Consider the following 16,546-nt stretch of genomic DNA (forward strand, 5'->3'; position numbering starts at 1 on the left):
ATTCTGGCCTCAGGTCTTTTATCATCATCATCATCATCATTTCACTCTTTATATATGTTATTTGCTTTAGTTTTTGGAGATCACTTCATGGTTTCTTTGGATACAATAGACATCAAGTCCAATGTATACTCCTTACAACTGTTATTTCCTTTCACACCAACCCTGTAGCATGACTTTTATTATTCATTTTTGTTTTCTAGATAACTAGCCACACAGCTGATAAGTGGCAGAACCAAAATTTGAGACTAACTGCAAAGCCTATCTCTTCTACTTTAAGCTTTTATTTCCTATTTTTAAAAGAGTGAGATAGTGCAGTCTATTTCATAGTGCTGTTGTATGAGTTAAGTGAGTTCAATTTTAAAGTTCCAAATTTGGTGCCTTCTCTTAGTAGATTTTTAAAAATGTTTTTGCACCCTCCTTTCTCTATCCACTTCTCTCTCCTATCCACTCTGTCACTAAGTCCTACTTAGCTTTCTACAAAATAATCTAACTCATAAATCAGTTATTTATTGTGCTAGACTCTGTGGGGAACAGATAATCCTCACTGCTACCGCTGCAGTCCAAGACATCCTCACCACATGCCTCAGTTTTTTAGATAGTACTAACTAGAGTTATTGCCTCCAGTCCTAGACCCTAAATTAATTAAATATATAAATTTATGGTCTTCTTCATTTCTTAACTCATAATGTTTATTGTCTCTATTATTTCTTTTTTTCTAAAATTGCATCTTGCCTGGCTTTATGTTCTTTTTTATAGCTGATTCACGTCTGCCTGGTTTCCTTCTTTTGCTTCTTCTTTCCTTTTCTTTCTCTTCGTGTGTTCCCCATCCTACATCCAGCCCGCCTCTCTCAACAGCCATAATATAACTATATAATTCTTTGTATCTTTGCATAGCCTAAGGCTAGGCTAGGGGCAAGTAGGGAAATTGTACAGAGAGACCAAACTTTGAGAATTAGTAGAAGTCTCTAATAATATAACATTTAAGCTAGAATTTGAGAGTAGTAGTTAGCCAGAATGAGACTTTTTCAAATAGAAGAAAGAGGAAATTAGAATATGCTTGAAATTTGTTTAAAAAAAAAAGGTCACAGAACATTAAATATAATGAGAAGGAATACGGCTCTAAGATGTGACTGAAGGGAGTCAGATTACACTGAGCCTCGTAGACTATGCTGAGGTTCTGATTTCCAAGTAAATGAAGTGGGGAACAGGTGAGGGGTTTCAATCAGGGGAGTGGCATGGCCTAGTTTGCAATTTAGTGGTAAGTTGACTACTGTATGAAAATCGTGTTAAAGAGGTGCCAGGATAGACATTGTGAGACCAGTGAGGAGGCCATACAGCAGTCCAGGTGAGATAGGATAATAACTTGGAGAAGGGCAGTGGTTGTGGAGATGGAGAGAAGGAGACAACTGTGCTAAGCATTTGGGAATCAGAATCTCTGTAATTTGGTCATGGGTGAGATATGGGGAAATGAGAGCAATCATGACACCCCCATTTCTGGCGTACACAGCTGAATGTATCAGTGAGAATCCAAGCAGAAATGATGGCTCATTCAAAAGGAATTACTTAAACAGAATCTCACAAAGGGATGATGTCCAAAAGTGCCAGAAGAGTTTCTTAAGGCAGTGAAGGACAGTGCAGTACCTCTGGGCAAATAACATAGAGAAACACCACTCCAAACCAGAAGGGGCAAGCAGACAGAGTGGTTACCAGAAACCTGGGAGAACAAATGTAAGGAGAGGCTACCTAACACGGAGGTAGCCAGACCAATAAACAGCAACACCAAACCACCCTCCTGCCCTTCAGTCTTCTGCCTGTGGCTCCCATTGACCAAATTAACCAGATGTCAAAAGGTAAGAGAGCTCTGTATTTGTTCATCAGAGTAAGTTTCTCAAGGTGTAGAGAATGGTGCCAGATTCATCTGGGGGACACACACAATATATACAGCACAGGAGCTGCCACATATTTATGTGAGCAAGATATCGGGGGTGGAAGGGGCAAGAGTTTAATTGTAGACATGTTGAATCCAATATACCCATAAGACATCCAACTAGAAGGGTTATGAAGGCAACTCAATGTATAGATGTAGAATTCGGAAGTCTATATCGCAGATACAAAGCATAAGTTCATCAGTGGTTGATAGTTAATGTCATTAAAATGAATAAAATTGCCCAGGAAGGAGTGAGTGTGAGAAGGAAAATATGGATCCCAAACCCTGAGACTCATAAGGAGGGACGTGAACACTGTTGGAATAAAATTGTCCATAGGTCTCTCATGTTTCTGTACATCTTGTGAGCAGAGACAATGACCACTTTTTTTCCAGACTACCTTTCCAAGGGCATTTGTATAGAAAAAATCTTTGGAAGCTGGAGATAGTGTTTCTCTTTAGAGCAAAGGTCAGCAATATTTACTGTCTGGAATCAAAGACCAGGCTTTCTAAGGTCGGAGTCCTCTCCTGTAACGTAGCCCATGGTGTCACTTGGCACTTTTTCTGTCAGCCTATGTGAATTGCAGCTCAAGGAACCAGAGCCAGAAAAGGTTGATACTCTGGCTACTACTGTTTCTGTGAAAGATAACACCTTTTGTCCCTGCCCATGCTGCTTCTGTCTTCCGCCAACACCCAAAACTGTGGCAGGCTAACTTGTGGGCTGCAGATATGGTAAAATCCCAGACCCTTCACAGTTTGTGACAAACAAGTCAAGACATACAGGGGTTAGGAATAACCCCTGTATTATTCTTTGTTGTTTTGCACAGGGAGAAACAAATTAGAGAATGCAAGTGGCATTGGGAAGTAAGAAGGACACTGATACATGGGGCTATGCAAGGGGGAAAATACTTCTGCTTAATAGAGCCCTGGGGGAAGCAGTGTTCTCAGCAAACCTCCAGGTTTTAGTTAAGGAAGTATTTGAAAACTGGGATAAGGTTGCATTGAGGAGTAGTCAATGTGGATTTGGAGTTCCAGAGAGCACAAAGTATTTGGAAAGACAGAGGGAGCTGGCTATTACTTCTGCTTAATAGAGCCTTAGGGGAAGAAGTGTTCTCAGCAAACCTCCAGGTTTTAGTTAAGGAAGTATGTGAAAACTGGGATAAAGTTGCATTGAGGAGTACTCGGTGTGGATTTGGAGTTCCAGAGAGCACAAAGTATTTGGAAAGCTGGAGGGAGCTGGTTGTTAAACAATAGAGAATTGGCACACAGGGATGAGAGCTTAGCAGATACAGGATCAGAGAGGCTTGTCCAGTGGGCAGTAAAGCTTCAAAGGGAGGCATGAATGATTTATTTCTGAGAATGTTCTAGAGGAGGGAAGTCACTTGAGCCTAGGAAAATGCAGGTGAACTTTGGAAGTGAATTCAAGTGTAAAGCTATCAACTCTAGCAATAGTGAAACACATCTGGCCCTTATTTTGGTAATTTATTTCTGACTGTGGGCTTGGAGACACTGGAAGTAACGCAACATTTCTTACAGCATCTAGTCACACAGAGAAAATAATGTTTCTCTTTGGGGATGACTATTTTTCCTTCCTATTTACAGTTGCAATCACTAGAGCTAGTCCAATATACCCATAAGACATACAACTAGAGATAAAATGGAGTGAAATCATGGCTTTTTAATTTTAATTTGAGTTTAGTTTCAAGAGTACATATGCAGCTTGGTTCTGTAGACAAATTGAGTGTCGTCGGGGCTTGGTGTACATATTATGTTGTCACACAGGTGATAAACGTAGTATCCGACAGGTAGTTTTTCAGTTCTCATCTTCTAGCCTCAAATAGGCCCCAGCCTCTATTGTCCCCTTCTTTGTGTCTATGTGTGCTCAATGTGTAGCTCCCCCTTATAAGTGAGAAAGTTTAATGTTTGGTTTTCTGTTCCTGTTTTAGTGTGCTTAGAATAGTGGCCTTCAGTTCCATCCTTGTTGCTGCAAAAGATATTATCTCATTCTTTTTTTATGGATGTACAGTATTCCATGGTGTATATGTACTACATTTTCTTTATCCAGTCTACCATTGATGGAAATACAAGTCAATGCCATGTCTTTGCTATTGTGAATAGCGCTGCCATGAACATGTGTGTGCATGTGCCTTTATGTTAGAACAATTTATGTTCCTTTGGGTATATACTCGGTAATGGGATTGTTTGGTCAAATGGTAATTCTGTTTTAAGCTCTTTGAGAAATGACCAAACTGCTTTCCACAGTGGCTGAACTAGTTTACATTCCCACCAGCAGTGTATAAGCATTCCTTTTTTTTCTGCAACCTCACCAGCATCTGACCATTTAATAATAGCCATTCTGACTGGTGTGAGATGGTATCTAATTATGGTTTTGATTTACATTTCTCTAATGATTAGTGATGTTGAGCATTTTTTTCATGTGTTTTGGTCATGAATATGTCTTCTTTTGAAAAGAAGTGTCTGTTCGTGTCCTTTGCCCACTTTTTAATAAGATTATTTGGTTTTTGCTTGTTAATTTATTTAAGTTCATTATAGATTCTGGATATTAGACCTTTGTTGGATGCATACATTGAAAATATTTTCTCCAATTTTTTGGGTTGTCTGTTTACTCCATTGATGGTTTCTTTTGCTGTGTAGAAGCTCTTTAGTATAAATAGGTCACATTTGTCAATTTTTGTTGCAGTTGCTTTTGTTATCTTCATAAAATCTTTGCCAGGGCCTATATCTAGAATGATATTTCCAAATTTTCTTAAAGAGTTTGTATAGTTTTAAGTTTTACATTTAAGTTTTTAATATATCTTGGGTTAATTTTTGTATATGGTGTAAGGAGGTGGTACAGTTTCAGTCTTCTGCATATGGCTAACCAGTTATCCCAGCACCATTTATTGAGTGAATCCTTTTCCCATTGGTCATTTTTGTCACCTTTGTCAAAGATCAGATGGCTGTAAGTGTGCAGCTTTATTTTTGGGCTCTCTAAGCTATTCCATTGGTCTATGTGTCTGTTTTTGTGTCAGTACCATGCTGTTTTGTTTACTGTAGCCTTATAGTATAGCTTGAAGTTGGGTAATATAATGCCTTCAGTTTTGTTCTTTTTGCTTAGGATTGCTTTGGCTATTTGGGTTCTTTTTGGTTCCATATGACTTTTAGAATAGCTTTTTTTTTTCTAATTCTGTGAAGAATGTAGTTGGTAGTTGGGTAGAAATAGCATTTAATTTGCAAATTGCTTTGGGCAGTATGGCCATTTTAACAATATTGATTCTTCCTATTCATGGACATAGAATACTTTTCTGTTTGTTTGTGTCATCTCTTATTTCTTTCAGCAGTGTTTTGTAGTTGTTTTAGATATCTTTCACCTCCCTGGTTAGCTATATTCCTGAGTTTTTGTGGCTATTGTGAATGACATTGCATTCTTGATTTGGTACTCAGTTTGGATGCTATTGGTATATAGAAATGCTACTAATTTTCATATATTGATTTTGTATCCAGAAACTTTGCTGAAATTGTTCTGGGAGCTTTTGGGCTGAGACTATGGGTCTTATAGGAATGAATTCACAGCATCTTCAAACAGAGATAGTTTGACTTTGTTTCCTATTTAGATGCCTTTTGTTTCTTTCTCTTGCCTGACTGCTCTAACTAGAACTTGCGATTATGACTTTTGTAAAAATAAACTTTGATAAAACTGATGGTTCTGAAATGTCCTTTCAAATTCTGAAGTGAGATTAATTCCCTTATGTCTTCTCTGTGTGCTTAAGGAGGTGAAGGGGCATGGTAGCAGTGAGATGCAATCATTCCATCCCCACAACATGCCTAGGTTTCATCCAGGAAGGGACTAAAGTCCCTTGGGAGTTAGATGAACCTTCCCATATAGCATAGCTTCTGCAATATGTGTGCCCCTTAATTAGATACATGGGAAGCACATTAATCCAAGAGCATCTGTAAGACTTGACATGAGAGTGGAAACCCTGGTTTTCAGCAGAAGTATTTGAGTAGAACTGTGAAAGCTGACAACATGTTGTATAATTATTTATATCTGTATCCCTCATCTTTAGTAGAGTGTCTCTGTCTGGTACATGGTAGATATCCTTAGATGCAACTAACTTCATCTCCTCTCTTGCCTCCCCCCCATACCCTCCCTGTTTCCCCCTTATATCATCTTGATCTTCTTTTTTATTTTCCTCATTTTCTTTTCCATCCTCCTCCTCCTCCTCTTTTTATTCTACTTCCTTCTCTTTTTCTGGTCTTCTCCCTCTTCTGTTTTTATTTTCATGAGCATCATGTGATCCTTCAGACCAACACAAAAGCAGAAAGAGTAGTGTAATGAATCACCATGTATCCATCACTGAACCCCAACAGCTGTCATAATCTGGCCAATTTATTTTTACAGATACCCTATACATATTTTTTTCCTCACCATTGGCCAATTCAAAGTAAACCTCTACATATGGTTTTATTTTAAACACTTCAGCATGCAACTTTAAGATATAATTGCTCTCAAAAAATGTACAATACACACAAAAGACAATAGTTCATTATCATCATGGAATAGCTAGTCTCTCCCTTCTCTCATAAATGTCTTTATAAAATTTTTTTTTTCACATCAGGATCTAAATACATTGCACATCCCACCTTTATTTGATATGTTTCTCAATTTTTTTGTAATCTAAATATGTTTCCCTCCGTTCTTTTACTTCTTGCCATTTGTCAAAACAGCTTATTATTGGGAACTGAATTTTACTTTTGATTGACATTTTCTTTATTTTCTGCATTTCCTGTAAATTAATACATAGATCCAGAGCTTGATCAGGTTTATGTCTCTCTCTCTCTTTCTGTGTTGATTTGGTTATGTATTTGACAGAATTTCTACCACTTGGTGGTATACATTTAGTATTGCAACACTTTAGAAAACACATAGAATCTGTTTCTTAATTTTGTGTGTTATTAACATAAGAAATGAGAGTAGTTATATTTAGAAGAGGGACTATTCTAGGGGCAAGACTACAAGGTGACATTTTCCTTTCTACTCTGAAAATTTATGTTTTTGTGAAGATTTTTGTTAATTGTTTTTTTACATGCCTACATACGTATGCAATGCCATTTTCCAAACTAACAAACAAAAAACTTGCTAATGTCAAGAACAAAACAGGAGGAGGAAAAAAGATTAAGCTATGGTTCCAGTGTTGTCAACCTGATCTATTCACTGCAAAGTTCACATCATCCTTTTATCTCATGCTTTTAGCAACGATTGATGGTAATTGCACAGATTCGTTTTTCATCTGGCTTCTTAATGCATTTGTGAATAAACAGATTCATGAATGTCCTGAAAGTTCAACCTGAATACAACTCCTGGGATGGCATAAACAGAGTTTCAGAGTGGTACAACCTCCTTATTGAAGGAGGTTTGGTTGAGGAATGAGCTAAGAGGACAGGCATCTATAGAGACATTTCTTTAAGTCTGTTCTAGAAAGAATACTTTTTCAATGATTCTATGGCTTATAGAAGAGGAGCAATCAAAATTGTTGAAGTAGAAATTTGGCTTAAGAAAGCTTAGGAGAAGGAAATCTATGTAAGACATTGAAACTGAATCTCTGTGCTTCTTTAGGAAACCATATCTTTTTGTTTGTTTGTCTGGTAACAAGGTATATTAAGTTTTCTTATGTCAGTTTTAGTGACAAACGGTGTTTTTACCTTTACTGAACAGATTGGCATTACCCACAACAAATTGCTCTTGGCCATAAAGTCCTTGGTGGAGTCTCTCAGGACACCTTTCACATGTTTGGAGTGTGTAAACATTGAGACTGAAACATTCCTCCTTTCAACCTCAGTCCCTGTGTGCATTGTACCTAAACATATCCCCACCATCCACCCCCTGCTCCCAACACACATTTATTCACTGCATGTATCTTTCCTTGCACTTACCTGAAAATTGAAAATGGAATTGCAGAAGAAAACACAGTTTTAAGTGAAGATGAATAGCCCCCCAGGAAGCATCCTAGTTGAAAAATGCTTAGAAATAATGGGTTTTGGCTAGACAGTTTTTCTCCTTTGCTGTAATTCTTTTTGAGTCTTTAACAGAGCACTCAGTACTTCTGCAGAACATTAGGATGTTAATGGTTCAATTGCAATCAAATTTTGGTCATTTAAGCTGGACGATCAATGGGTAAGTCATCTGGCCTTTCTGCGTTGTTTTCTTCCTTCCTCTGCTGGCCTTGTGTCAGTTGTTCTGGGCGTTAACTTTTCCACCCAAAGGGAAGTCAAGCAAGAATACAATGGTGGTTGTCAAAACCATCCATTTCCTCCTTGCAGGAAATTCTGCTGAAACATTCAGTAGGTATAAGAGGATGTAAATAAAAATCATGGCCCGCATGAACTTTTAGATTACTTATGGCTCTAAACTAATATTGAAAATGAAAAGAATTAAAGGAGGACAAGACTGTCCCTTTTCCCTGTGTGGATAGGGAAGAAACCATTTGGCTCATTTTTTATAATGGGCAATGAAGTAACAGAGAGGCAAGAAACGGAAGACAAATGGAGAAAATAATATTAATAGTACTTATCCCAGAAGTGTGCTGTGAGGGTTAAAAAGTCAAATCATGAAAAGTGCTTCCACAGGACCTGGTGCACAGAAAGTTCGCAATTAACACGTGCTGCGGGTGGTGCTGTGACCCCCTGTGAACCCCAGCATTCTTTTCAGGAGTCGCTCATCACATTCAATTCTCACTTATCTTCACCTGCAAATAGAGGCACAGCAATACTGCAGACATTTTGGCTCATTCCAGACCTGACTTTGCTTCTACTGATAATTCTCACAAGGCCATAGGATTTTACTCTGGGATTCTCTAAATGTGGACACTATGAAAGATGCACCAAAGTCAACTTCAATATAACACAGAATCTTAGTTTCACATTAATATTCATTTTATACAGAGAAATGCATACCCTTGAGGGGGAACAATACCCAGTTGACAGAGTTATTTATCTGTTTATCTTTAAATATTACAAAGCTGCAGCAGCTTTGTAATAAGGCTTGCTGGGTTACTGTAGCACTTTCAGAACCCAGCAACATTCTGTAACACTCCAGGATATTCACCCTGCTGTCCCTGTGTCCCCTTCACCCAGAATATAGCAGTTTGTCACAAATCAAATATGCCCTGACTCTCTTTTTCAAAGCTCTTGTAATACATTCATTTACTATTTATTGAAGCATTTATCACTTACAATAGATCCAAACATCAATATTTAAGTTAATTGTATGCTGTTACTACTCAGGACTTCAGCCTCAAGAAATATTTAAGTTTGAGGCTTTACATTCAATAAAATTGTGTAATGCAAAGTCTAAAAGCACTGCCAGCACAAGTGTACACAGCTTCAGATCAGACTTTCCAAAGCAAATCACTTCAATTAATGTTTGAAATAAAAATTTCAATTATTCACTCCCTTAAAACCACATGAGAAGCCTTATGCTGGTTGTTCAGATCTGCTGAATCTTTCTGGCATCTGTGTGTCTCAGTCTACATTAGTAAACATCTTTGATTTGTTTTCTCATAACTCCATCTCTTTCTTTTGGTTTTCCTTTTGAAACACGATTTTGTTGTTGTTGTTTTTGGTCTTGTTTTTTTTTTTTTGTTTTTTTTTTTTTTGAGACGGAGTCTCATTCTGTAGCCCAGGCTGAAGTGTAGTGGCGCGATCTCAGCTCACTGCAGCCTCTACCTCCTGGGTTCAAGGCAATTCTCCTGTCTCAGCCTCTCGAGTAGCTGGGATTTCAGGCACACGCCACAGCCCGGCTAATTTTTGTGTATTTGGTACAGACGAGGTTTCACCATGTTGGCCAGGCTGGTCTTGAACTCCTGACCTCAGGTGATCTGCCCACTTCGGCCTCCCAAAGTGCTGGGATTACTGGCGTGAGCTACCTTGCCCGGCCAGGATTTTTTTTTATATTAACAATTTCAAATCCATTATATCTTTCATTTTCCATATCTTTTTTATCCTAATAATTTGCTGATACATTTTAACTAAGGCATATATTCTGAGGGAGCAGTATGCTGAATGGGCAAATTAAACAGGTCTTTCAAAGAAAAGATCTTCCCCATAGCATGACCATTAGAAATTCTGAGAGTGAAAGAATTTATGGGTTATTCTTGTGTAATGCAACTGACAATTTATTCAACAGAAGGTTAAAAGAGTGTGCCTTTTAAAGATAAATACTGGACTCTGGGTAAAAGTAATAATGAGAAGAAAATCGGGAGACGTGAAAAGTTAAGCTTTGCATACTAGAGAGGTAAAAGATAATGCTTCAGAGTTCTCATTTTATCTAAACCGCAGACTCTTTCCTAGAAAACGTGATGAAAAGGATGAACCTCCTCCAAATAAAGAATATAATAATGTCTTATTAAATCACAGAGATCAAAAGAACGTCCTGTTAATGAAGAATTAATTGAAAAAAAAGCTGATTTTTCTTTGGTCCACTTCAAGCTATGTTGTTGAAAATATCTCTTAACATTGTATTTCAGTGTGTGTGTGGGTGTGTTTAATGCTAGTCCCTTAGAATTTTGTAAATGGGTATATGAATAAGAAGTGTAGTAGTTAAATAAACCTGGAAAATACTGACGATCAAGCTTTAGTAAATGGGTGAACCATTTCATGTATTACTCGGAAGACCATGTGGAGGGTGATTTCAAGCTTGGCTAACTCACAGCTCAGTTGCATTTTCACTTCCCTATCAAGAATTTATCCTTTGTCACTGGTATGCTATGGTCTCCTCAGGACTACAAAATGACTGGAGTAGTTGCGGGGTGCGTGGGCCGGGTGTGGTGTGGGGGATTTTTGACACAATTGACTAATCTCTTTGTAAGAATAAATAAACTTTCTCAGAAGTTCCCCAGCAAACTCTTTTTTTTTTAATATTTATTTTATTTATTTTATTATTATACTTTAAGTTTTAGGGTACATGTGCATAATGTGCAGGTTAGTTACATATGTATACATGTGCCATGCTGGTGTGCTGCACCCATTAACTCATCATTTAGCATTACATATATCTCCTAATGCTATCCCTCCCCCCTCCCCCCACCCCACAACAGTCCCCGGAATGTGATGTTCCCCTTCCTGTGTCCATGTGTTCTCATTGTTCAGTTCCCACCTATGAGTGAGAACATGCGGTGTTTGGTTTTTTGTCCTTGCGATAGTTTACTGAGAATGATGATTTCCAGTTTCATCCATGTCCCTACAAAGGACATGAACTCATCATTTTTTATGGCCGCATAGTATTCCATGGTGTATATGTGCCACATTTTCTTAATCCGGTCTATCATTGTTGGACACTTGGGTTGGTTCCAAGTCATTGCTATTGTGAATAATGCCGCAATAAACATACATGTGCATGTGTCTTTATAGCAGCATGATTTATAGTCCTTTGGGTATATACCCAGTAATGGGATGGCTGGGTCAAATGGTATTTCTAGTTCTAGATCCCTGAGGAATCGCCACACTGACTTCCACAATGGCAAACTCTTTCCTTATATCTCATTGGCTAGAATTGTATCCTATCCCTTGTTCCTAAACCAGTTCTTGCAGAGGAGATTGGATTGGCTTAGACAAATCAGGATTAACTCAGTGAAAAGTCCAGAAATCCTTACTCACATTGGTGGCCTCCAATATCTGAACAGAATCAGATTTCAGTTGGGAGAGGAGGAGTAGGGATGGTATATGAGTAGTCAAAGACTCAGAGGTTGGCAAATAATTGTGACTGCCACACTAGGGAAAATAAAGCCTAAGTCCTTTTTATAAAACATAAACTTGTCACTTCTGATTTTGTTGATATAAGGCTACATTTTCAAGTCCTATTAGCTCCAAAGACAAATTTAATACGTAAGTCTTCTCAGAGCCTTTAATATGTTAACATACCTGGAGACTCTCTGAGAGAGGGATAAAGCCTGCAATGTTTCACAGATAATAAAATATTTTATTATGTAAAATAATGCAATTATTTTTCAAGGCATTCTCTCCAGGATGATTGTCTTTATTAGTGTAGTTTAGAAATGGGTCCCCTCAATTATTAGTCTGAACCTATTTCATAGTATATATTTTATAATGGTCGAAATGCCTCCGAGATTGCCTTTTCTAAGTTCTATAAAAAATAAGAGAAATTTATAAAGTAGCAGGTTATAAAATTCATATTAAAAATGAATAGCCTTAAAAAATAAATATAGTAAAATGGTAATGTTAGAATTTAGTTAGTGGGTTCACTCTAAAGTTCTTTTAACATTGCTCAATGTTTGAAATTTTTCATAATAGAAAGTTGGAAAACAGTAAAACAGCCACAACGTAGCAAAAAATAGCTTTTATATATAGATGAAATACCAGTAAAATGATTCATGAAAAATAACACCATACTTATAATAGCAAAAATGAATAAAACATCTTGGCTAACTTTGCAAGAAACATTCAAAACCTATGTGAGAAAAACTTTAAACACTATTGAGAGAAGCAAAAGTAGACTTGAGCAAACGAAGATACAGATAGGAAGATTCAACTTCAGCAAGGCTTCTGTTCTAGGTGAGTTTATTTTTAAATACAACAGAAACCCAATAAATGGACCACCAAGTTGCTAGATTTTCTTTCTGAAGATAATGGTTAATAAATTTTATTGGAAGAAATAAATTATTCAGAAAAATCTTTAAAAATCAACAAATCTGGCACAGAGGGGCTTGCTCTGTCAGTTATTAAAATATGTTATAAAGCCTTTATAATTGAAACTCTAGTTTGGTGCATGGATAGAGAAAGTAAACCATGAAACAGATTTTAAAATATCCAGAAATTTGACCCAGTCGCATATGGAAATTTGACATATAGTAAAGGCAGAACCTCAAATCAGCAAGAGAAGGTAAACTGTCATGTATTACAATAACTGCATAGCTATATGGTAAGAGATAAAATTTTGATTCATTTCTCACATTGCATAACAAAATACGTTCCAAGTGAGTCAAATATTTAACTTAAAAAATTATAGAGTACTAAGAGAAAACATGGATGAAAACTTCTGTACTCTGGAAGTGGGCTCATTTTTTTCTAACCATGATTCAAAATCCAGAAGTATTAACAGAAAATTAAATCAATGCATTTTATTAGAAAGAAATGAATAAATTTTTATTTGGAAAAAGATACCTAAAGGAGGTAAAAGAATAATGACAAACTGGGAAAAATATTTGCAACTTAATCTCAAAGAGTTAATATATCTAATTAAATTTAAAAAGAGAAGAGAATGGCCAATAACTTTTTATCAGAATGGCTTATTTATGAACAGTTTACAAAAAAAGAAACAAGTTTCATCTTTCCACATGAAAGAAGCTCATTTTCCTTTATAACAAGAAAAATGCAAATAAAAATACACTGTGGTAGCCTTTCTCACGTACCTGATTGACACAAATTAAAGTTCGACAGCATACTCTGTTGCTGAGGTTGCAGGGAAACAAACATTCAAATCCATTGCTGGTGGGACAGCAAAATGACACAACCCTTTTAGAGTGGAATTTGCCAATATATATAAAAAATACACATGAATTTACCCTTTGACAAAACTCCTCCACTTCTCAAAATTCTTCCCCAAAATACTCAGGCAGAACATGAAAAACACATACAGGCATATGCAGAAGGCTGTTCTATACTTTTTAGACTGTTAGACATGATTGTTATTCTAAGAATGTTATCTGTATATTATGGGATAAAGCAAATGAATAATCATAACAGTATCATTAAGAACCAAGATTGTCCTCATGAGAGAAAGGAAGTAGAGATTTAAGAGTGTCAAGGTTAAGCAAAAACTCTGTAGTCCTGAATTTGAATGGGAAATAGCTGCATAAATTCATGATAAATTTTATCTTTAAAAAAAAATCCTATACTATATACACTGAAAAACCCTAGATCCCGTGACAGGCAGTGAGCATAAAGTTGATTTGGTATTTAAATGAGATACATATAAAACACAACTCTCTGGCATATGAGATATTAATGGTGCTCTGAAATGGAAAAATACAAATTCAAGTAAATTTGGGAAATTCTGAATTTCCCTCTTGGAGGTTACATTTTATGTTATATGTTAAATGTTCTGGAAAAGTCAGTGAAGCAACCTAAAACATTTTAGCACAGTGGCTGTCCGGAACCCTTTGTGTGTTTTGCAGGAAAAGGGGTTGAGGTTGTAGAACTCTTATTGTGAGGTTGTAGAACTCTTATTGTTTCTTCACTACACAAATGTGCCGTAGGAAACAATTTGGAAAATATTGCTGTGAAAGTGAAATGCAATTTGTGGATAATTCTTCTTCATAGAGGGACAAGAGGTCTAGAGAGAGCTACTGGTGTCGTGTACTTAATGAATGCATAATTTAATGCAACAAGTGTTATTTAGTATCTACTGGATGCTAAAGGCTATGTTCAATGGTGGGGATCCAAAGGTAAAAACAAGAAAAATGTCTTGGACACCTGGTAGAGCATTAAAATATGATTCTATATTGACAGTGCTATAAGCAAGATTTGAAATGTTTTACGGGAATGTTGAATTGCGACTGAGCGCCTCGGTGTGACAAACAGTTGGGAATTAAGTATGATGGTGAAAGCAAAGAGGAAGGATCTCCCTGGCAAAGTAAACAGCATGAGCAAAGATAGTTTAACAGCAACAATAGTCACACCTATCTGGAAGAATAAAGGAAAATAAATGTGAGAGGGTAGGCAGGGTCCAGGTAATGAAAAGAATGTGGGCTTTGGGGTCTGACAAGCCTGGGCCATCATCATTGCTCTACCTGTAAATGACCTTTGGAAGGTGATTTAACCTCTATAAGGCTCAGCTTTCCCACTGGTATCATAAGGATAAAAAAAATTACCTCACAAAGTGATGATGACATAAAAATCCCACATCCACAGCTTTCAACACAGTGTGGGCACTTAGTCAATATCAGTTGTTATCATTATTAGGCAGATGGGAGCAAAATGGTAAATATCTACTGTGACCAGTGAAAGGGATCTGGATTTAATCTGTAGTCAGCAGACAGCCATTGAGGGACTCTTAGTGTAGGAATGATGTGACTAGCTCTGTAGTTTGCAAAGGTGAACGTGGAGGAATGAATGGATGAAAGGAGACATTGAGCATTGCACGTGATGGAAAATGGTGGGAGGCATAAAGAGGCCATTGGTGGAGTGTTTGACACTGTTCAGTACTTCACAGGTAGGACTGCTAGAATTCATTAGACTTACATATGTGAGAGCTGGGATTGTGAAAGGGAAGAGAAAGAAAACGGACATCAGTGTTTCTAGCCTGAGCATCTGAATCTCCAGTAATACTAACAATCGAGACAGGCAACAGAGACGGTACAATAGGTGTGTAGAAAGTAATGAATTCAGGTGTGGAATTTAGTTTGTTTTCTGTCATTATCCATTTGACCTTTCTAGAGTAAGCGAGCTTTTCAGGTTCGAATGTGGCAACCCAGCTTCTGATCTCAAAGATCCTTTTATTCTAAGGGACCACTATATTTTGAATAGTATGTAAGGTGTCACAAAGTAAAATACTACAAGCTATTAGAGAAACCTAACATGGTAGCTGGATATGGATACCAACTGGCTATCACGTGGTAGGCAAATGTGGCTTGAATTACTGTATTTATCGAAGCAGTGTTTTCTTTAAGCATAATTGAAAGTTTACTTTTAAATTTGGACATTCTACTCAATGCCAATTTGTGTGTGTGTGTGTGTGTGTGTGTGTGTTTCTTGTTTTAATGTGCAGGACAGGAGAGAATTGGAAAAGATTCCAACTATGAGCAGGAGGGTAAAGTCCAGTTCGTGATTGACGCAGTCTATGCTATGGCTCACGCCCTTCACCACATGAACAAGGATCTCTGTGCTGACTACCGGGGTGTCTGCCCAGAGATGGAGCAAGCTGGAGGCAAGAAGTTGCTGAAGTATATACGCAATGTTAATTTCAATGGTGAGTCTCCAAAAATCCATCCTTTTTGGAATCCTAAGTGTTGGCATTCTGTTTCATAAGTTTTAAATGTCTATTATTATTTACTTTAAAATATGTGTCAAAACTTGCTTGATTATAAAACTTTAAATGATTGAATCAATGCATGAATGAGCAAATGAATGTAAGAATGAGTTAAGATATATTTGGGGGTTATGGTTTGGTCTCATTTTCTTGAAATAGAGATTTTTTTTTTTTTTTTGCACTATGCCAAATTCTTCTTTGGTGAATTTAGGTGGGTATAGGATGGAAGAGGAAGGGAAAGGAGCAGTTGCTGTAGGTACCTCTGAATATGGAAAAACTGAAGTCATTTTTCCTCTGCTCTCATACCACAACAGGAATTCACACAGAAGACTTCTGTGACCAAATGTCAGTGGAGAGGTTTCCCCCACACACCAAGCTAGCAATAAATTCTGCAGTGGACACAAGCTGACTGTCCTCTACTTCAATTCCTACATGATCTATCTGGCATGCTGTGAAACCCCACAAGTTGGAGGCTTAGTTCCCAAGACTCTTCCCCTTGCCACTTGCAATGACAGTGGCAAACCCTAGGTTGTTTTGTCTGGGCTTCTGATGGTCCGGCTATAAACTGGAATTTTCAC

The 16,546-nt window shown here is 37.3% G+C and overlaps 1 protein-coding gene across 7 annotated transcripts in view; it reads left to right on the plus strand.

The window, feature by feature from the left end:
- The window catches only part of GRM7 (glutamate metabotropic receptor 7), an 880,419-nt gene that overhangs the window by 575,785 nt on the left and 288,088 nt on the right, over positions 1-16,546 (plus strand). For all 7 annotated transcript variants that reach the window (XR_001740135.3, NM_181874.3, NM_000844.4 and 4 more), the window contains exon 6: positions 15,708-15,908. Coding sequence is in view for 6 of the 7 variants with exons in the window: in NM_181874.3 (NP_870989.1) it covers positions 15,708-15,908 (201 nt within the window). In the remaining variant the exon portion in view is untranslated. The remainder of the gene's footprint in view (positions 1-15,707; positions 15,909-16,546) is intronic.

The sequence above is a fragment of the Homo sapiens genome, chromosome 3 (genome assembly GCF_000001405.40).
Source record: "Homo sapiens chromosome 3, GRCh38.p14 Primary Assembly".
Taxonomy (NCBI): domain Eukaryota; kingdom Metazoa; phylum Chordata; class Mammalia; order Primates; family Hominidae; genus Homo; species Homo sapiens.